The sequence below is a fragment of the Homo sapiens genome, chromosome 12, assembly GCF_000001405.40.
Source record: "Homo sapiens chromosome 12, GRCh38.p14 Primary Assembly".
Lineage (NCBI taxonomy): Eukaryota > Metazoa > Chordata > Mammalia > Primates > Hominidae > Homo > Homo sapiens.
Genome location: NC_000012.12, coordinates 42,088,373 through 42,111,391, shown reverse-complemented (window position 1 = coordinate 42,111,391; position 23,019 = coordinate 42,088,373). Strand labels below are relative to the sequence as shown.

At 35.2% G+C, this 23,019-nt stretch overlaps 1 protein-coding gene across 3 annotated transcripts in view; it reads left to right on the top strand.

The window, feature by feature from the left end:
• The window catches only part of GXYLT1 (glucoside xylosyltransferase 1), a 63,030-nt gene that overhangs the window by 33,483 nt on the left and 6,528 nt on the right, over positions 1–23,019 (top strand). For all 3 annotated transcript variants that reach the window (NM_001099650.2, NM_173601.2, XM_017019211.1), the window contains 4 exons: positions 1,701–1,826; positions 5,323–5,574; positions 13,359–13,482; positions 13,778–13,950. In NM_001099650.2, the coding sequence (NP_001093120.1) occupies positions 1,701–1,826; positions 5,323–5,574; positions 13,359–13,482; positions 13,778–13,950 (675 nt within the window). The remainder of the gene's footprint in view (positions 1–1,700; positions 1,827–5,322; positions 5,575–13,358; positions 13,483–13,777; positions 13,951–23,019) is intronic.

Sequence of the window (23,019 nt, the reverse complement as noted above, 5' to 3'; positions counted from 1 at the left end):
CCCTTTCTTTGACTAGGAAAGGGAATTCCCTGACCCCTTGCTCTTCCCGGGTGAGGCGATGCCTCGCCCCGGTTCGGCTCGCGCACGGTGCGCTGCAGCCACTGTCCTGCACCTACTGTCTGGCACTCCCCAGTGAGATGAACCCGGTACCTCAGTTGGAAATGCAGAAATCACCTGTCTTCTGCGTTGCTGACGCTGGGAGCTGTCGACCAAAGCTGTTCCTATTCGGCCATCTTGGCTCCTCCCTGGATTGTTTTTTAAAATATTGAGGAATTAATCTTGTCCTAGGGGTTAAGAGAATAGTAATAGACTGCTGCCAATTTTGGGAGTCTTTGAAAATATAATAGAAAAGTAAAACATTTATTGCATTATCTTAGGTGCAGCCTCTGTGTTGTGTTTACACCTGGCTGAATTATTGTTTGTGTAACATATACTATATTTTTGAACTTAGTTTTCGTTTGACTGTAATAATCACTGAGAATGTTTGGTTTTGCTTTTGATGAAAGAATATCAAATATTTTATGGAACATGCTTTTAGTACATGAAAGAGCACTATTATATGTTAAATGAAAGTGACTAAGATTTTATTTTGAAGTTGGTATTGAAAAGATCTTTAAGTGATTAATAAGTGGAGCAGGGAAATGACAGTGCTAGTATTTTACAATAATTAGTAGATAGCTGGTTGTGGTGGCATGCACCTGTAGTCCCAGCTACTTGGGAGGCCTGAGGTGGGAGGATCACCCAAGCCTGGGAAGTCAAGGCTGCAGTGAACCATAATCATGTTACTGCACTTCAGCCCAGTCTGGGTGACAGAGTGAGACCTTGTCTCAAAACAATAATAAAATAAAATAATCAGAGACACCAAAGCAGAGTGTTGGAAGTAAAGGCATTCCCTTAAACTATATTGGAAGATATTAGTGTTTTAGAAATGACTTAAACACTATCATAATTCAAAAGAGATTTTATTCAGCCTGTACATAAACTACTTAGTTTTTTCCCCCCCATAGATTGTTTCTTAATGCTCCTCAGGAAATTTGAATCAGTAATTCTGTTGAAATAAGAATGAGAGATAATACTTAAACTGAATTAGAAACAATTCAGTATCTTGAAATGCATTTAGGGTACTAAGTGTAAACATGTTCATCATAGATTTTCAGATACATTTTGCTTTTTGTAATAATTTTTAAAAAATTGGCATTGGCTATGTATCAGAATATTCTCAGAAATATTTAGGCATATTAAAGCTATGCATTGATGGACAAATATTTTTTAACTAGTTTCATATTTGGTCTGACTTTGAATGTAAGCATCTTTCATATCGTATATATGGTGGTAATAATATTAGTGCTTAATTTTTCTGATTTTAGCTTGTTAATGGATTAAGAGAATTTACACATTAGGTAAAGTTGAGGAAGACAAACTTGCGAGGGTCTTTCACCTTTCTGATTTTGGGAGTTGGACCCTGATAACTTTCATTATGCTTCAGATCTTAATGGGGAAGTCTGGGATCTAATTTTGATTTTTAGATTTTAAATGAAAACAAATACAGTGGTGGAACAGAAGAATCTTTCCTTTAATTTTACAGCATAAAATGTATATTATCTTAATTTTTAGCTCTTTTGTTTTATAATCTGTTGTTTTATGATTTTACAGAGAAAATTCAGAGTGAAACTAAACAGTTTTTTTTTAAATTGTTTTAGCTTGACAACTGGTCATTTCTACAAACATTTAATTATACGTTATACCCCATAACCTTTCCAAGTGAGAATGCAGCAGAGTGGAAAAAACTCTTTAAACCATGTGCTTCGCAGAGATTGTTCTTGCCGGTAAGTTTTTTCCCCTAGTGTCTTTTTTTTTTTTTTTTTTTTAAATTTGAACCTTACTTTTACACATGAGTCTCTGAAGAGTTACATATAATTCCAGTTAAATAATTAAATTAGTAAATAGAAATCAATGCATGTACTATCTTCCTTTTGAACATGAAAAAATATTCCTGTGGAACAAGTAAAATAAAAACCCCTGTTAAGAATGAAAAATTTTTAGTAATTTCTGTTGAGATACCAGTTTAATATATTCAGTTGCGGTGAACTCTTTTATCTGTAACAAGGAATAGAGGTTGCCAGGTCTTAATGGAGCCAAGTCTGTTGCCAGCAGAAATGCGGTGGCGTTATCACCTTCAACTTGTAGGCAGCATTTAGAGTTTGAGAAATGAGGTAGAGTGCTTCATTAAATAGCAATTTGTGTCTTATACCAAGCCAATTTATCTATTGTAACTGATACTTAAACAGAAACAAATTTAAGGCATATGAACTCAAAGGGAAAATGGGAACTATTTATTCAGTGGGGCTGTTCTTTGGTAATGTTCTATGATAAACCTTGATTTTTTTTTCTTTTTTATATACAAATGTTCTGAAGCAAGGTTACCTCTTTCATTTTGATTTGATTTTACCCAGTTTTAAAATTCACAGTAGTTGTTTAGACCATTATGATATTTAAATACTTACAGTTTTGCAGCTTAAATACATGGAGAATACTTATGGTAGAAATACTGAATTTAAGAAGCACACAAGGTTCCGGAAATTATATAAATTATGGGGAAGAACCTTCAGTTACTTCTTATTGCTAAGTGGATTAAGGGAATTCCTAGCTTATTAAGAATATGGTTTATTGAATCCAGGATATCTGTAAGATTAAGTTATAATATTGATAAAAAAGTCAGTCTAACCAGTATGTTTGTTGCTCCGCCCTAAAAAGTTATATCCTAGGATCTTTCTCTTCTCTTCCATTGTAAAAAGCACACAAATAAGGGATTAAGATTGGTTAAAAAAAAAAGTTTTAGATACTTCACGTAGGTTTTGTAAGTTTTTGAAATAAGTTTTATATTGAATGACTGCAGTGTCAGTCATTTAATTAATATGTGAGTGCCTAGTTTTTGTCAGTCATCTATACTGAAGTGCTGGGTATATAGGAATGAATAGAACACACAGGTTTCCTCTTTTCATAGAGCTTGTTGTCTGATGTGGGAGACAGACATTAAATAATCACACAAATAGTATTGAAAAAACAATAAGAGATGAAAGAAAGATGTGAGGTTTTGGCCATTTCTCTGCCATTTTGTTATGGTACTTTATTAACACTTGGCACCATGGCACTTTGTTAACACTTTATTAACAAGTTTAATTGTTGATGTTGTTACATGAAATTTGCCAGATCATTTAATGATGTAATCTAGTTAAATCCCTAAATGGAATTTTAAGTACAAGAACTACTTGAAACCTGTCAAATTGACCTCATACTTTATTGTTAATTCTAATCGTTTTAACCAGATTTAAGTAAATTGGTGCTTTATTTTTTTATAGTGATAAACTTTTTTGCTGAGTTTCTCTTCCTTTAAAATAGATGCATGAAAAGAACTAATGTAAACTGTGCCAATGCCTTTTTCAACTGAAAGGAATCAGAACTATACATAGGTGATTATGATTTAACCATGTCTGATTTCCAGCTGGTAGTGGCTCCCAGCATTGAACTTGAAGCTTTATGTAGCTTCTTCCTACTCTGCTAAGAATATAGTAATCTGTAAACAGATGTGACACAGATGTAGAATGTTGCTATTAAAAACAATTCTAACTCCACCACCCCTCAAAAAAGTGAGATAGACATACAGACTCCACCCAGCCCCCTCCCCCAACACCTTTTTTTTTGAGACAGAGTCTTGCTCTATTGCCTAGTCTGGAGTGTACTGGCGCAGTCTTGGCTCACTGCAACCTCTGCCTCTCAGGCTAAAGCGGTTCTCCTGCCCCAGCCTCCCGAGTAGCTTGGATTACAGGCATGCGCCACCACACCTGGCTAATTTTTGTATTTTTAGTAGAGACAGCGTTTTGCCGTATTGGTCAGGCTGGTCTCGAAGCCCTGACCTCAGGTGATCTGCCCGCCTCAGCCTCCCAAAGTGCTAGGATTACAGGCGTGAGCCACCATGCCTGGCCACAGATTCCCTTTTAGTTGAGGTCTTTGACCAAGTGAACCTTCCCTACTCAGGCCCTGCAGTCAGCCATCAGATTTTTTTGCCCATCCTGATATTAAATCAGCTGATAGTGAGATAAGGGAGGAATGAGGTGATTTCAGCCTAGTAGCTGCTCATTAAGGTGATGGCTTTAGTTGCAGGAAGAAGTAGCAGCTTTGAAAAGTAGCAGAACTAGGATCAAGCTCCTATTATGTCTTAACTAAAAAGGTTTAGATTCACCTATTTATTGAATCTTACTAATAAACCAGGATAGGCGGTAAATTTAAATTTGTAGGAGTCAGAACCTAAAGTTCATGGGTAAGGCAGAAATGAAAAATTATCCTTGATTGGGCACAGTGGCTCGTGCCTGTAATCCCAGCACTTGGGGAGGCCGAGATGGGTGAATCATTTGAGGTCAGGAGTTTAAGACCAGCTTGGCCAAGATGGTGAAACCCCATCTCTACTAAAAATATGAAAAATTAGCCGGGTGTGGTGATGCATGCCTGTAATCCCAGTTACTCAGGAGGCTGAGGCAGGAGAATGCCTAGAACCCAGGAGGTAGAGGTTGCAGTGAGTTGAGATCACACTACTGCACTCCAGCCTGGGTGACAGAGTGAGACTCTGTCTCAAAAAAAAAAAAAAAAAAAAGAAAAATAATAATAATTATCCTTAAAATTCCCCAGGGAAGGCACATGTTGAAGATTTATCTCTTAGAAAGTGCAACATAGCCAGTCTTTCTGGCTTTACCCTAAAGTCAAGCCTTTACCCTTGCTAGGTGCACATTTGCTTTGATTCGTTGGGACACAACCTAGAAATAAGAGTATGGACTCTGAATCTGGATTGCCTGGGTTCCAGTTTGGCTCTACCACTTACTAGTTGAAACCGAAATGATGTAAAGATGCCAGTGTTACAGGCCAAGGGGAATAAGTTCAGAAAATCTTTATTTGTATTGGTTTATTTCTGTATTTATCTCAGGAAATTAGGATTCAAGATATAAATTTACCTAAGTTAATGTTATTATCCATTATGAAAAACATTTCCTCCCTGATCTTTGAAGATTTCATATTATTCTCTCAATTTTTATAATTGAGTATTTTGTTTTGGTTTGTTTTCATATCTTCTCTGAAAGTTAATATGAAGGTTAGCATAGTATCTTTATATATATGCTATTGTTAAAAATGACAGATTTAGGAAAGATTACCTTAAAATAAAATAATATAAATTAGCTAATCTCTTAGGTGTATCTTACACAATTAGAGGTGCTTTTATGTTTCTTTTTAAAATAGAATTATAGTTAATCATTCAAATATCTCTCCTTGTAGTTAATCCTGAAAGAAGTTGACTCACTATTGTATGTCGACACTGATATCCTTTTTTTACGACCAGTTGATGATATTTGGTCTTTACTAAAGAAATTTAATTCCACACAAATTGCTGCAATGGCACCAGAACATGAGGAACCTCGAATAGGATGGTATAATCGCTTTGCTAGGCATCCATATTATGGAAAAACTGGAGTAAACTCTGGAGTTATGTTGATGAACATGACTCGAATGAGAAGGAAGTATTTCAAGGTAAGTCACTAATACAGGTAGTTGTTAACATTTCTCTAAAAACCTTCTAAATTGTTTTTAATAAAACTAAATTTTATTAAAAACTAAATTGAACTATAAATAATTTTTCTATTTAGAATAATCTCATTAGAAGAATATAAATATCTAGATTTATCTAGAAGTGTGTTCATATTATTCTGTTTAACAGAGCATTACAATAGGTCAAACCAGATGACATGACAATGGAGTAAAATAACAATGCCCTAAGTAGTGAACATCTTCTCCCTAGATTGCCATTCCAGGAAGCAGATGTTATTTTGTAGTTGTACATTCATAGAATACATAGAATCTAAATTATGATATACCTTAGGGACAACATGGAGTTGCAGTTAAGAGCATAGACTCTGCAACCTGTTTGTTCTCACCCGTAAAATGGAAATGATAGCACTACCAATGTCTTGGGACTTTTGTGAGGAGTAAATGAGTTAGAACAGTGGCTGACACATAGTAAATGTTAGCTATTATGGTGTTATTGGAAGTTAACTTAAAAAATTCCTGCGTGTTTCCAGTCTTTCAAATTGTGTGGTCAGTAGAAAAGTCAGACTATTTAAATTCTCTGAATGTGCATTTAGACTTCATCAGTATGTACTAATATTTACCAGTTTCATGTAGATTAGTTGTATATCTAAGTTGCAAGTCACTGTAGTTTGCTTGCTCTGGAATCAGACTGGCTTTCTGTGTAGCTTTGCCTCCTGTGCAGTACTTAACTACTAGCCACTTAGTTAACTTTTAAGTATGAATTCTCTCAGCTGAATAAGATAATAAACAGACTTAACTAAGTTAATTTAAAAGAGATCTGTTGAAAATTCTTAATAGAGCGTGACAGGAAGTAAGCAGTAAAATGTTAGCTAAAAACAGTGACTTCTGAGCAAACACTATACCCTCTAGGAGTATAGAGTTACTGTTTATTCCTTTATATCTCATTAGGACTAAATTAAACATTAAGGGATATCATGTCTTTTGTGATATATGTGTACATTTATATGTATGTATTTTTGTCATGCGTTTTTCACATGGTATCTGGTGGAATGGAGTTTATTCTTTCTACATGTCTGATTTAAGTCTTTTCCTCATTTGGAACTGTTTCCTCTTACCTTTGGTATAGGCAGCAGTACTGCTGTAGCCATTACCATGTGCCAACACTTCAGTCTTAGAAGTCTGACAGCTATTACCTGTCACTTGTCTATTCTGTTGATCTTAAACTTAGTTTTTTTTTTTTTTAGCTTTCCCTTTTCTGAATCTTTTTAAAATTCTGATTTAAATTTAGTTTTGTCTCCCACAACTGATTGCATTAATAAGCCCAGTGTTAGGTAACCTCTGCTCTTGTTTAACAGAGAACATCTCTCTTTGGTTACCAAGTTTGTTATTCTGTCTTGAATTTTTAAATTTCATGTACTGTAAAGTTTTACTAAATATAGTAAAACTAAGATAGTAACATGATTGTTATTTTCTGATTGTTAGACTGTGCACAGTGATCTTATACCAGAAGATGGTGCTGTAAGATTATCTGCAAAAAAAAAAAATGTGACTTCTCAATAACTGCATTTGAAATTTATGAAATTAATAGAAGTTTAGTGTTGCAAAGAACTATAGAGATAATATAACACCATTTGATTACAACTTAAAAATAGCTATATAGTTCAAATCCATTGTTTTTAAAATTATTTTGTTCTTATTTTACTTTTTTGTAGAGAACAGTCTCTACAGAAAAAGAGTTGCCCAGGCTGGTCTTGAACTCCTGGCCTCATGTGATCCTCCCACCTCAAACCCCCAAAGTGCTGGGTTTATAGGCGTGAGCCACTGCGCTTGGCCAGATTTACTGTTTTTAACTTACCTATTACTTATTTAAATATCATTCATAAATAATAGTTTCTCCCTTTCCCTTTTTCTTTTTTTTTCTGTGACATGTTCTAAGCTACCTAGAGGTGTAGTTATGGGAGTTGGAATAATTTCTAAACTTTCAAACCTTTTTTTCTTCTGCACATTAATGACTGTGAAAAAAAACACAAGATGATTGGTTGTATGTTAATTTGGCAGGTATAATTTACTTCACACCTACTATTCCTGTGTTACAAACAACCCTGTTCTTGCTCCTTGGGAACATACTCAGATTTGCTTTGTTTTCAAATATTTTATTATACTTAGGATTGTCGAGATGGTCCTGCAAAATTTATTGATTGTTAATTCCTTTTCTCATATATTTTTATTTTTCTTGATCTTTATATCTATAGCAAAACATTGTCTTGGTTTTTCCTACCAGTTTTACAGTTTCTAGCACAGATCTTAAATTTTAGAAATTTAGCAATATAACTGAGTTACTTATAATCACTTTCCAAACTGTTTTATACAGATCCACGATTGTTGCTTCATGGTTCTTAACCCATGTACAGCCACAATAAAAATTTAGGACAAAGGTCATAGTTTATTTATTTGCCTTGCTGTCACCTGGTTCTTACTACTTGTGGCTGTTCATTTCGAACCTGGTGTATTATAGTTATGTATATTAAAAAGTTAAAATAGGTCCAGGTGTGGTGGCTCACGCCTGTAATTCCAAGACTTTGGGAGACCGAGGTGGGTGGATCACTTGAGGCCAGGAGTGTGAGACCAGTCTGACCAACACAGTGAAACCCCATCTCTACTAAAAATAGAAAAAATGAGCTGTGCATGGTGGTGCATGCCTGTATTCCCAGCTACTTGGGAGGCTGAGACAGAATTGCTTGAACCAGGGAGGCAGAGGTTGCAGTGAGCTGATATTGGGCCACTGCACTCCAGCCTGAGCTACAGAGTGACAATGTGAGTGAGACTCTGTCTCAAAAGAAAAAAAAAATTAAAAAATTTAAATTCAAATAATTTAATTTAATGAAATAATTATTAAATTAAATTAAATATTAAATACAACTTTTTAAAAATCATAATTTTTAATCTCATAATTGTATATTTGCTAGATAATGAATAACATTGGTTAAATGATTACGTTCTATTTTGCAGTATCGTATTTGCCGTGTTGAATCCCTATTAGGGTATTTATTTTCTCTCCTTCTAAAAAATGTATTACTGTATTTCTTAGCCTTTTCCTGTTTATTAGAGAAAAACCAAAGAGTATAAATTAGACATGGTGGGAATTTTTTCTTTGTTTACTCTGCCCTTTTCAGCTTTCTATATATTATTTTGTAGAGTATTTTTTTGTCTGTTTGCTCCACCTACTGAGGGCAGGATGTGTCTTTTATACAGCTTTATATTAAGAATATTTAGCACAGTGTCTGACATAAAGTAGCAACTTGATAGATAATTGCTAGCAAAGGAGAGTCAGATGAAGGTTTTAGAAACTAGGCCATTAATGAATTGAAAAATACTGGAAAAGGGAACACTTTGTATGAAGTAGATACAATGCTTTTACATATTTGTAAGATGTATGTGATAAAGAGTTTTCTTGTGTTAGTACATAGCTTATGAGAGCAGAATAACAACAACGAACATCTTGCCAAAGGGGTAGAACTTTTTAAAGTGAAGTAACTAATCTTTGGGAATTGATGAGTTCCCACTTTTTTGTTGGAGCATAATGTGAATGCGCTTTAATTTTATATGTATGTATAGGACAGGCTGATAATGACAGTCCATTCATTTTCAAAGCATGCTTAATTCAAAAAATGAAACTAATTGATCTTGATGTAACATACATGTATTTGGTCATAGGTTTGCTAAATTTTGTAAAATTAGAACTACAGTTTTCTGTTTTAAATGTTATGAAACTAAATTGTGCTTATAAAGATTCAAAAAAGTAATTTTATGTAGAATGAAAAGACAGGTCTCCCCTTGACATATCTCTTCACACTTTCATGCCTCCACCCAGAGTGACACTATAAACTTGGCTATGTGTTCTTTGGACCTTTTAAAAAGTGCATTTTGAGGCTGGGTGCAGTGGCTCATGCCTGTAATCCCAGCACTTTGGGAGGCCGAGGCAGGTGGATCACTTGAGGTCAGGAGTCCTAGACCAGCCTGGCTAATATGGTGAAACCCCATCTCTACTAAAAATACAAAAATTAGCCAGGCATGGTGGCAGGTGCCTGTAATTCCAGCTACTCGGGAGCCTGAGGCATGAGAATCACTTGAACCCAGAAGGTGGAGGTTGCAGTGAGCCAAGATTGCGCCACTGCACTCCAGCCTGGGCGACAGAGTGAGACTCTGTCTCAAAAAAAAAAAAAAGTATTTTGAAACAAGCATAGGTGTGCATTAGCATTTAGATATAGGATTCTTTTATACATCTTCAGCTTTTTTCATTTAGTAAATATATAGTTGACTGACTTCTATGTCATTACACATAATCACATTTTTAATGTGTGTATGATGTGGAGAATGGATGATTTTATTTTCTCTTTTTGTGTGTACCTAGTATGGATATGTAGTTGTATGGCTGAAAATATATTTTAAAATTCATATTTTCTTGACTATACTACCGGTGTGGTTAAAAATCTTTTCTTATAATTTGTAGCCATTTCTGTTTCTTCTTTTGTGAATGGCTGCTTGCCCATATCCTTTGCCCACTTCTTGGTTTTCTCTTTCTTATTGACTTGAACTCCTTTTATATGTAATACCTCTTTATTAAACTCATTTCTCATAGCTTTTCATTGGTTGTCTTGGATAATCTAGGTTATATCATTAGCAAATAATACTAGCGTTATCGCTTCTTTTCCAAATAGTTTTCTAATGGGACTTTTTTCTTTAAGGTTTTTTTCCCTTTTTATTTTTTTCCTAAGACTGCAGTGAACTCTTAATTTTGTATTTCATTGATGCTCTTTGAATAGGTACATTTCTTGTAAGATATATATTCAAATATATATATTTGATTTATATTGGTTTTTATAATTTAAATATGTATCTGTATTTCTGTGTATATTTGAATAGATAGAATCACATGAAGACTTTAACATGGTGTTGTACAAGGGCTCCACCAGTTCTGTCTGTTGAAAGTGTTCCTGGTTTTTGTCCTTGTGTAATTGATATTTTTCTTTTCAGATCCTAAGAATATTTCCTTAACATACTCAATGACTTATTTCTAAGAGTTATCTTTTCAAATTGTTTCCTTAAGTAAAACTTGTTTTAGTCATTTTCCAGATTAAAAAAAATTCTGATTATAATTACTATTTACTGTGTTCTAAGAAATTTCACACAAGGATAATAATGCAGTTGTAGCACATCAATTTAAGTATGTGGATTTTTTTTTTTTCATGAATTCTGGCCTTCTCTTTTTTAAAGGATAGATTGTTTATATCGTCACTGAATTTAATATAAATTATAAAATGACTTATAACAATGTTTCTCAAACTATGGCAAAAGATTAATTTTTAAAAAATTTTCAGTATGTTATGAGCCAATACTTTTGTAAAAGAGAGATTACTAGAGAAATATATTAAGTACACATAAAACTGTTAACTTGCTGTAAAAGTTTCTAAATCTTACTCTTAATTTCTATACTTAATTACTTAATCTTATTGAGGACATAGAAAAAATTTACATAGTAGCACACTATGTGAACTGCTGTGAACTGCACTATGAAGAATACTGGTTTTTACTCTGGATAGTCCCCGAGTCACATAGATCTAAAAGGCCCGGTATTCACTTCTACCCCTTCCAACACCAAGTTCTCATTGGACTCAGTTTCTTGCTCCCTTAAGTATTTAACTTTGGGTTTTCAAATAACAAGTTTTGAGCATTAAGAAAAAAGCATTACATTCAGTATCTGAAAAAGCACTAAATTCAGTATCTTTTTTATTTTAAAAAAGCATAAAATATAAATTGATAGATTATTAGTATTATATTTTTATCTCATTTCAAAAGGCAGCATTGTGCTTAATGGCTAAACAGTAGGAGCTTTCCAGTTAAAATGAAGATAAGGATATCTATTAATATTACCATAACTTTTTTTTATTTGAGACAGGGTCTCATTCTGTTACCCATGCCGGAGTGCAGTGGCACAATCTTGGCTCACTGCAAACCTCCACCTCCCAGGCTCAAGTGATCCTCCCACCTCAGCCTTCCAAGTAGCTGGGACCACAGGCGTGTACCACCATGCGTGACTAGTTTTTTGTACTTTTGGTACAGGGTTTCACCATGTTGCCCAGGCTTGTCTCGAGCTCCTGAACTCAACTGATCAGCCTGCCTCGGCCTCCCAAAGTGCCGGGATTACAGGCGTGAGTCGCTGTGCCTGACATCATAACTATTAAGTAATATTTAAATAGTGGTTCTCAGCATGGAGGAATAACAAGCCCCCATATTAGACAAATGAAAGAAATAGGTATAAAAATTAGATAGGATGTAGAATTATTATTTGCGTGACATATTTATATCCCTGGAAAACCTCAACCTATTAAAACTACTATAAACATTAAGGATATATAGTTAATTTGGCTGAGTTGAAAACTAAAATACAGAAATTGCTGCTTTTAAAAGGAGAGTCAAACCATTTACTGTGCTGGCTGACTCCAGGGGTTCTTTCTCAAGTAGCGTAGTATGGTCTCCTCCTGAAAACAGTGTTGATATGCCAATTAGTTGATATCCAAGAATAGGAAAATACTTTTGTTAGCAGGGTTGTAATTCTGATAGCAAAGCTTACAGTTGTTAAAATGGGTTGGGTGAATCTGTCAGCTCTTCAGTAGCATGAGAGGCATCAGGAGACTAGGGTCTCTTTCTTGGAGTGCAGTCTTAATATTGCCAAAGCTGCCAGTCCTAACTTGCCTCTCTCTGGGATGGTGAGAGTTTATGGGACTGCATACATCTGCTAGACTGGACCCAGTTATTTTCCTCAGCAAATCTTCTTTGACTTTATATGTCATTCATGGTGCCTCTTTACAGAATTCTTTGCTTGCGTTTTCTAATGTACAAATAGCAACCTTTTAGAATATAAAATGGAAGACCCTCAAAAGAAATAGCATACATAGGAACAAACTTGAAAGAAATTGGCAGGATATATACATGTATATATACACACACATGTATTATATATATATATATATATATATATGTTTTAAATTTAATAAGATAAATGAACACTTAAATAAGTAGAAAGATACACTATGTTTTTGGATAGGAAAATCCATCATAAAAAGGCCAGTTCTCTGTGAGAATTTTTTACTACAAGTAGACACAAAACTCATACATTTCTCCTTCTTTGTTGATCTTCCCCACTCCCTCTGCAGCCTTGATTTTTGTCAATCATATTGTTTTTTAGTGTTTAACTTAAGTTGTGTATGCATTTTTTAATTTGATTTATCAATTTCAAAATGATCTATTTGAACTGCCAATTATAGAAGTTAAGCAAATAAATCAGACTAATAGCCATCATGGTAAAAAATAATAATAGCTAACACTGAATATTTACCACGTGTCAGGTGCTATTCCAAGCACTTTAAATTTATATATTAACAATTTTAATCATCAACAACTCTGACGTAGGCCCAGACGTAGGTACCAAAACTATCTTCATTTTAAGATAAGGACACAGTTACTTTCGCTTTCTTTCGTGACTTACTAGTTTTGTCACTGCCACATACAACTTCCTTTTGTTATCTTCTGTTTTACTGTACAGCCCTTCTCACATTTAGGGTTAGAAATGTCACTTGATATTGTGAGGAGTTTGCATTTCTCTTTGTGGATTTGTAATGGTTGCTGTGGGAAGAATGAGGAACTGTCATCATGCTGCCATTTTAAGCCTGAAAGTCTGAAGCTCTTTTGAATGTTTTTATCAACAGAATGATATGACAACTGTACGACTACAATGGGGAGATATACTTATGCCATTGCTTAAAAAATACAAACTAAACATCACATGGGGTGATCAAGATCTATTGAATATCGTGTTTTTTCATAATCCAGGTAATTATTTAAATTCCTTTTATTTGCATTAAAAAAATCACAGATAATACTTAGTGAAAAAGGAAAACATGCACTTATCTGATTCTGTCTTATATTAATGATTATTGCTATTTATGTTTAAGACGGAGTAAAACTTTTCTTGAATTTTGCTTTAATTGGAAGAGATCTAAATGCCAGACATTTTTCATTAATTCTTACTTGTAAGAGCTGTATTTTTTAACTGAAAGTTTTGCATAATGTTACATCTGTGGAATTAGGGGTATTTGCTTCATTGTTTGGTCTTTTCTTTATGTAGAAAGCCTTTTTGTTTTTCCGTGTCAATGGAATTATCGACCAGATCATTGTATATATGGAAGCAATTGCCAAGAAGCAGAAGAAGGAGGAATCTTTATTCTTCATGGGAACAGAGGTGTTTACCATGACGATAAGCAACCAGCATTTAGAGCTGTTTATGAAGCACTGAGAAATGTAAGATTTGCCTTTCCTTTTTTTTAACTTTTTGTTTGAAAATACTTTCAAGCTAATGGTTAGTTTACAAAAATAGTACAAAGAATTTTTACACACACTCAGCCTCATCTGTTATTAACATTTTGCCTTATTTGCTTTGTCGTTGGTTTTCTCTCTACATTTTTTTTTCCTGAAAACAATGTAGTTGTTTTTTCAGAAAACTCAACTTAAATTTGATTGTAAGTTGCATACATTAAGTTCTTTTACCCCTAAAAACTTCAGTTTTTTTTTTTAAACTAAGAATAAGGACGCTCTTTTATTAACCACAGTACATATGTCAAGCTAGAAAATTTAATACTGATGGAATACATTAATCTGCCATCCATATGGCTTTACTCTCTTTTGATCTAGAACAGTTTCTCAGTCTTTGTCTTATATGACATTGGCATATTTGGACAATAGAGCCTCTTCACCCCTTTTTTTATTAGAATGTTCTTCATTTTGGCCTGTCTAATGTTTCCTTACGATTAGGTTCAGGATATACATGCCTGCTCAGAATTCTGTATAGGTGGTGATGTGTGCTTCTCAGGCCCTCATAGTCATAGTCCCTTTTGTCTGCCCCTCACTGGTGATGTTGATTTTGATCAGTCAGTCAAAATGTCATTTATTTTCTCCACAGTGTAGTTATTTTTCCTCTTATAAGCAGCCTATGGGAAGAACCTTTTAAAATCATGTAAACATTCTGCTTCTCATTAAAATTTTCCTACAAGATTTAGCATCTATCGTTGGTTCTTGCCCAAAACAATCTTCACCATGTTATTTGCAAATTGATGATTGTTCAACAATAGCACTCCTTCCACATACATCATTTGACACTTGGCATGCGTCTATAAGGAAGATCGCTCCCTTTTGCACATATATTGATGTTTATATAATCAGTATGAACCCTTTGATACTTATGTTCCTCCAATGATTTATAATTCATTTTTCCTTCTAATTATGTTAATGCTAAAGTTGTTCCAGGTATGGCCATTGGGAGCCCCATTGGCTACTTCTTGTGTCCCTTTGACATGTCCTCATCACTTTTTTTGAGTACCTCTTTTATTTTCTGTTCCAACAAAATATTCCAGGTTTATTTTATACTTTCCCTGCCCTACTGTTGAAATTAGTCATCTGTCAAAGGAGCTCTGGTTCCCTTTAGTAGGCTCTGGATATTAGGCATGTTTATTGCTACCAGGGTCTCATTGCTTTTGAGCTTTTTCAGTGGCAGAGCTAGGAAGTATAAGCGTGCACACATGATGTTAATGTGTTCACACCTGATTCTCTAATTCCATGCCATTCTTCCAAGGCTCTTCCTTTCTTCTACTCTATATTATATCTTCTTTCTTCCACAGTTAGAATCCTGACTTCTGTCATCAACACATTTTGTCATTTGCTTAATCTTACAGTCATTTAAAATAATTTCAGAAATGTTCCTTTCATACCATTGTCTCCACCCCCAAACCAGCTTACTAAAAATGGCTTAGGATTTGTTTTCAGTCCTTCCTCTTCCTCTCCCCTGCTCCCAGACAAGGGTGTGTACTCAATACTGTATTCAGAAGTTACTTGGGTTAGTTCTTTTTTTCCGATCTTTCAGTGTGATTATTTTATTTATTTGAAATACAATTGGATTCATTCGTTTCCGTATGCTTTCAGTTTTAGCTTTTTTCCACTATCTTTGTTGATATAATTGCATTTTTTGATAGGGGGATATTAATATACTTCACAAAGTCAGAATAACATAAGGGTTTACTCAGATGTAACCTGTTATCTTAGCCCGTTTATCCTAACTGCCCCCTACCTCTATCGGGTACCAATTTCATTGTTTTCTGGTTTATCCTTCCTGTGTTTTTAATAAGATGAGCAGATGTATGTATGTTCTGTAATTTCCATTTTCTTACACAAAAGGTAGCTTAGTGTATATCTTCATTCATTCTTTGCTTTTTATATTTAAAATATTCTGGAGATATTTTCCTCAGTTTTTTTTTTTAAACTGTATGGTACTTTATGTATGTACCAGAGTTTATTCAGCCATTCTCTATGTTTGGACATTTTGGTAGTTTCCAATAGCTTGAATTATAAATAATGCAGCAATGTACAGTTAGCTGTGTCATATATATATATTTGTATTGTTGGAAGGTGAATCTTCATGGTAAATTCCTAGAAGTGGGATTATTGGATTGAAATTATTACCTGTGTTCCTCCATAGGGATTGTTTGTATTCCTGCCAATGATTTGTGAGACAGTCTGTTCCCCACATCCTCGTCAACAGAGTATAGTATCAAGCTTTTAAAATTTTGTCATTCTGATGGGTGAGAAATGGTATCTTAGTGTAGTTTTAATTTGCATTTCTCTTACGAGTGAAGTTTAATCTTTTTATATATTTATGAAATATTTTTATATCTTTTTGGGGGTGAATTTTCTTTTAAATATTTCTCCTATTCTTCTATAGTTTTTTAAAAATAACTAATGAAACATAATTTATATACCACAAAGTTCACCCATTTCAAATATATAATTCAGTAGCTTTTAGCATGTTTGCAGAATTGTACAACCATCATTATTACCATGAGGGCGTTTGGGCTTTCTTGCCCTCTCCTCCCTTTAATTGTTAAAAGTTCTTTGTATGTTAGGAATATTAGTACTTTTCCTGTGATATACATTGTGAATATTTTTCTACCAATTTGACTTATTTATGGTATTTGATGCCATTCAGTTTGTATAATATTTTTCATGTAATAAGTTTATCAATTTTTTTTTTTTTCACTGCTGGGTCTTGCTCTGTCACCCAGGCTGGAGTGCAGTGGCACAGTCTTGACTCATTGTAACCCCTGCCCCCTGGACTCAAGCGATCCTCCCACCTCAGCCTCCTAAGTAGCTGGTACTACAGGCACGTGCCACCACACTCAGCTAACATATGTATTTTTTATGGAGATGGGGATGTTGCTGTGTTTCTCAGGCTGGTCTTGAATTACCGAGCTGAAGCAGTCTGCCACCGTCAGCCTCCATAGTGGCTGAGATTACAGGCATGAGTCATCAAGCCCAGCCTCATCTTTTTTTTTTTTTTTTTTTGAGGCAGGGTTATGCTCTTGTCACCCAGGCTGGAGTGCAGTAGTGTGATCACAGCTTACTGCAGCGTTGACCTTCTGGATTCAGTTGATCCTCCCACAGCCTCCCAAATATCTGGGACTACAGGTGCATGTCACCAGGCTTGGCTAATTTTTGTATTTTTTATAGAGATGAGGTTTTGCCATGTTGCTCAGGCTAGTCTTGAATTCCTGGGCTCAAGCAATCCTTGGCCTCCCAAAGTGCTGGGATTACCAGGATAACCCACCACACCTAGCCTAACACCCCCCTTTTTTTTTTTTAAAGTTGTAATCAGCAAGCTTTTTCCAGTCTACACTTGGGTTACAGAACAGGTTATAGGATAATTCACCCATATGCTGTTTCATTTATTACATTCAGACCTTTGCTGTGTTTGGAATTTATTTACTCTTTTGTATTGGGTGAGGAATAGATACTATTTGACTCTTTTCCAAATGGCTATCCTTTTGTCTCTACACCATTTACTTAAGAATCTATCTTTGGCTGGGCGCAGTGGCTCATATCTGTAATCCTAGCACTTTGGGAGGCCAAGGTGGGCAAGCTCAGGAATTCAAGACCAGCTGAGGCAACTCCCTCAGCCCAGCAGTTTGAGACCAGCCTGGGCAGCATAGTAAGACTTTGTCTCTAAAAAATAAAATAAATTAAAAGGCTGTCTTTAACCAGAAGATTTCAGATACTGACATTATCATAAATTCCATTTGTAATTTCTGAATTTTCTGTTTTGTTCCATTGGTCAGTTCATTTGTACACTAATAGCACACTATTTTAATTATAAAGGTGCTTTGCTGTGTTTTAATATCTGATGGGGCTACTCCCTCTTTATAGCCTGTTTTTTTCAGTGTTTTCCTAGCTATTGTATATTTATTTTTCTATAAGTATCAACTCCATTAAAAAGTTAAAAACTTGTTGGTATTTTTAGGCCGGGCACAGTGGCTCACGCCTGTAATCTCAGCACTTTGGGAGGCTGAGGCGGGCGGATCACCTGAGGTCAGGAGTTCGAGACCAGCCTGGCCACCAAAGTGGTGAAACCCTGTCTCTACTAAAAATACAAAAATTAGCCAGGCATCGTGGCACGTGCCTGTAATCCCAGCTACTTGGGAGGCTGAGGCAAGAGAATCGCTTGAACCTGGGATGTGGAGGTTTCAGTGAGCCAGGATCGCTCCATTGCACTACAGCCTGGGCAAAAGGAGCGAAACTTCATCTCAGAAAAATTGATATTTTTATTAGGAGTATATTAGCTTCGTATATTAGGGACTGCTAACGTTTTGATGGTGTTGAGACATCCTAACCAAGAACAAGAGCTGTCTTTACATTTGTCTTTTAGGAATGTTTTATAGCAAGCCTGTCCAACCTGTGGCCAGTGGGCCGCATGCAGCCCAGGATGACTTTGAACATGGCCCAACACAAGTTCATAAAGTTTCTTAAAACATTATGACATTTATTTTGTGATTTTTTTTTTCTTAGCTCATTATTGTTAGCGTTAGTGTATTTTATGTGTGGTCCAAGACAATTCTTCCAGTGTGGCCTAGGGAAGCCAAAAGATTGGACACCCCTGCTTTACAGTTTTTTTTGCTACAGGTTTTGAATATAACTTAAGTTTATGCTTAAGTATTGTCTTTTTGTTGCTTTTGTAAATAAAGTTTTGTCTTTTAAGCATTTGCTTTATAATGAGTTTGGAAAAAAATTATACTGCCCCTCTCTCCCCCATCCCCCAGTTGTCTGTTTTCTCTTTTCTTCTTGTTCTTATTAGTCCCCTTTTATGTAATTGGGGTGGATTGATGGGGGACATGATTAATACTTCATATACCTCTAGGTGGATGCATGAACCAGATCTCTGTGAATGTTAAGGACCAAGACTTGGGGCAAATCCAGGGGAGGTTTGGATTTATGCTGTTACTTAACAAGCTGTATCACTATCCATGTTAGCTATTTCACTGCTACTAAGGAAGAAGTATTAATACATGTGATCACTCAACTCTCATTTAGATATGCTGTCTGTTCTACTACACTGTTTAATCTTACGTGGGTGGAAACAAAGCAAATAATATGAGTGCTACTTTAGTTTAAATGTGGGGGTCAGGAGAAAAGCTGATGACCCCCGTTTCCTAAGTTCTCATTATTTGTTAGTGACTGAAATCCTCTGGTCTATGTAGCCTCATCAATAGCAGTGAGAATAAAAACACTTCACTATAATCCATGGTGACAGAGATTGTTCTAGAACTGTGAAAGAGTGTCTCAGTTTTGCCTTGAAGGGCCAGGGAATGCCTCCTTGAAGAGGAGGCTTTTGAAGTGGGCCCTGAAGAATGAGTAAGAGTTTTCCAGGTGGGTGGAGGCAGTCTGGGCTGACAACTGCCTGAGAAAAAGGTTCAGAGGCTGTGAAAAGATCCACGGAGAGGTCAGGCATCCATCTGTTCAGTGTGACTGGAGTGATGGATGAAAGTCAGCAGGGGCCGAAATGAAGTGGATGTGGAGGTGGTATGCCATGTTAAGGTGATGATCTACCATGAAAAGGAATTAAAGTTTTCTCCCAGAAATCTGTTTCTTAAACTTGGTGGTAGACAAAATGCTAACAGCATTGTAGGCTACAGTTCTAGTGTATTAGTAGCTAAGTTTCTTGTCCTATAAACTTGACAGATACAGCTTCTAAACAATCAGTTTATCATGGTATGACTATACTCACTGATGAATTATAAAATTTAGTGTTGATGTTCATTTTAATGTAGCAGGCTTTGTATGCCTTCAGAAATTAATACTGTATTTTAATAATGCTTTATTATGGGTTGTCAGAAGGTGATAAAAATGAAGAAAAGTGCTTGTGGGGTTCTGAGACTTTGCAGGATAGAAAAGAAATGCATTCCTATAAAAATGAGATTTCCTTTGTTTCCTTTGAGTATTAAAAAAAATCTACTATTAGAGAATTAAGTTTCCCTGGTTTTATTTGATCTTTTCTTTGGTTTATAAGTGTGTACCTTTAAAAATACGAGTAATAGTTTTAAGTTGATTAATTACACTTGATTTTTTTTTAAAAAAATCTTATTTTTAAAAGGATTTCAGATGATTAATTATCTTCTGTGTTTGTTTTGGGTCTGTGTTAACTACAGCTTACATTTATTCATTTTTCAACTTAATGAAGTTAATCTGTCTTTTATGATGCTCCTGCTTAGTGTTTTTATATTTCCTTATCTGTAATTCAGTAAGAAGTGTAATTTTTAAAAGAATTGTATTCAGACAAGGATATTTATGCAAGTTTCAGACAGAGGCTTAGTCATAGCCATGGAATGCAGTGAACAGTATGAATTATAAAGGATGTGAACCATCTTTAAAGTGTGAATTCATGGCTATGTCTACCAGCAAATCTGTTTTTATAGTCCATGCATATTTGTTAAATATTAGTTGTTGAGTGAATAAAAATGTTTAAAAATTACAAATTCAAAATCAGAACAAAACATTTTATGGCTCTATAAGGTATTTTCTGCATCATGCATTTCATTCTGAATTATATTTCTTGATGTTTTGTGTTAACTTTGATTTACTTTACACCTTGCTTATATTTGCAAAACTCTCTGCAAAGCAGTCTTGAATGTTTTCCTTCCCATAGTACTGACTTGCATATAGTGAACACTTAGGATTTGTTGGATTGAACTGCCATTCTCCTGTATTTTCCAAAGATGTACTATTCTTTGAAAATACCTCAAATTGCCTAATTATGGTCATCACAGCTTCACTATTTCATGTCGTTCAACTGACAGTATAAAGCATGAGCTTCCTAAAAATCAGTGTACTGGGCCCTGTGCCACTGAAAAGAGGGAACGATTAACTGTACATGGAAAGGCTTCTCAGAGGAGCTGACATTTGAACTAAGCTGTAAGGATGATGAGTACCAGGCAGAGAAGAAAAGGTAAGGATAAGTCAGGCATAGTATATAGTATAAAAAGAGGTCTGGAGTCAGGTAAGGGCACGTGTGGCCTCTGGGAAAGGGACACCTAGATGTAGGTTATGTACTGTACAAATATGCAGGCACTGCAGATTATGTAAATGGAAGAATGCAGTGTCTTTAGGCTATGTTTATATAGGTGGAAATTTTGGAAATTTATCTTCTTCCTTAGAGGTCAGATTGCTTTTTTCATATGATGGGCAGAAAGAGGTCTAACTAATGAGACACTGTTTTTATTTAAGAAAATATTCATCAAATGGCTTTTTTTTTCCAGTGAAGAAGAAAACATTTTTTAACCACAAACACTGGGATTTGAATCACATGAAAACAAAGAAACTTAATCTCGAGTACTACATACTCCTGGGAATCAATAGTCTTCCTCTATTCTTAAATGCTTTCATTTTATTGTCATATAGTAAAAATAATGATCATAGTAGTTTGGGCTTCCCATAATTTTCTGCCACTCAACCAGTTGTTCAAGTGTTTTTTGTGCACATTGAAATATTTCTTGAAAGTATCACTTGGTGAAGTTTACCTTCTTCAACCTGGCTACACTTTTAACCCCAAACAAATTTGTGTATCTGTTTACAATACAGCACTTTCCCCAGATTTCCACCATTCATTGAGCTTCGTCCTTCAACAGGATTTTTGAACTGACTTGGCATGGTGTTGTTTGCTTAATGTTTGGATAAGTAGTGCTGTCTGGTGGTTAATTAAGTGCATGGACTTTTGGAGCTAGACTGTTGGGACGGAATCCTGGCTTAACCACTTACTGCATTTATAACTGAGAAAATCCTCTCTCCTTGCCTTCGTTGTTTCATTGTCAGATGGAGATAATATTACCTATATTATAAATGTGTTAATACATATACAACTCTTTTATATGTATATATATTTTATTATACTTTAAGTTCTAGGGTACATATGCACAACGTGCAGGTTTGTTACATATGTATACATGTGCCATGTTGGTGTGCTGCACCCATTAACTCGTCATTTACATTAGGTATGTCTCCTAATGCTATCCCTCCCCCCTCCCCCCACCCCACAACAGTTCCCGATGTGTGATGTTCCCCTTCCTGTGTCCATGTGTTCTCATTGTTCAGTTCTCACCTATGAATGAGAACATGCAGTCATATACAACTCTTAGAATGGTGCCTGGCATGTAGGTAGCAAGCACTCTGTGTGCTATTGTTATTTTTATTACATTGTTCCTGGCTAAGTTTCCCCATCTCTTTTTAAAACTTTTATCTTCAAAACAATTTTAGACGTTTATCTTGAGTATGTGTGATTGATTTTTAAAAATCACTCCAAGGGTGATGGTTTTATGCAGTTAATGCTTACAGTTTTTCTTGCTCAAAAGATGCCAAAGTTTAGGATCTCTTTGCATCTCTACAGTGACAAAACCCATGTTTTAAACAAACATCCAAGTTCATCCTCTTCTCTGTAGATTGACTGCAGCTTCCTGCAGACTCACTAAGTGTGCTTGGGGTGGTTCTTTCATTTCCTCTCCCTCAGCGTGCTAGTGAACCTCAGGGATAACCTGGGAGATTTCTGGTTCTGAATTTCCTTTGTGATTTTGCATTTTTCACCAACTTCAACTTCCATATAAAATGTTCTACTTTTAAGCCCCATCCATCTTTCTAATTGAAAATACACCTAGTTGAAAATACTAAATCACAAAATACCTGGTTGAAAATACAAAGATTACTTATTATTTCCACTTTACTACCACAGCCTTTTCCAAAATTTATTTCTCGATATTAGTATATTTTATAGTAAAAGAAGGACTCTAGCCAAAAATATATCTTGGGACAAACAGGTCAGACAACACTCAACAGATTTATTTTCTGTTTTACTTTTTAGACTTTTTCCTGTGCTAGTCTGAATCCCCATGAAGAGTGCCTAATATTTAGCAGTTTTCAAATGTGTTTATTGTTGGGATCCTTCTGTGCAGTTAGGGTTCTGTGGGACATGCTGAACTATGTTATCATCTTACATTCCTCCCACCA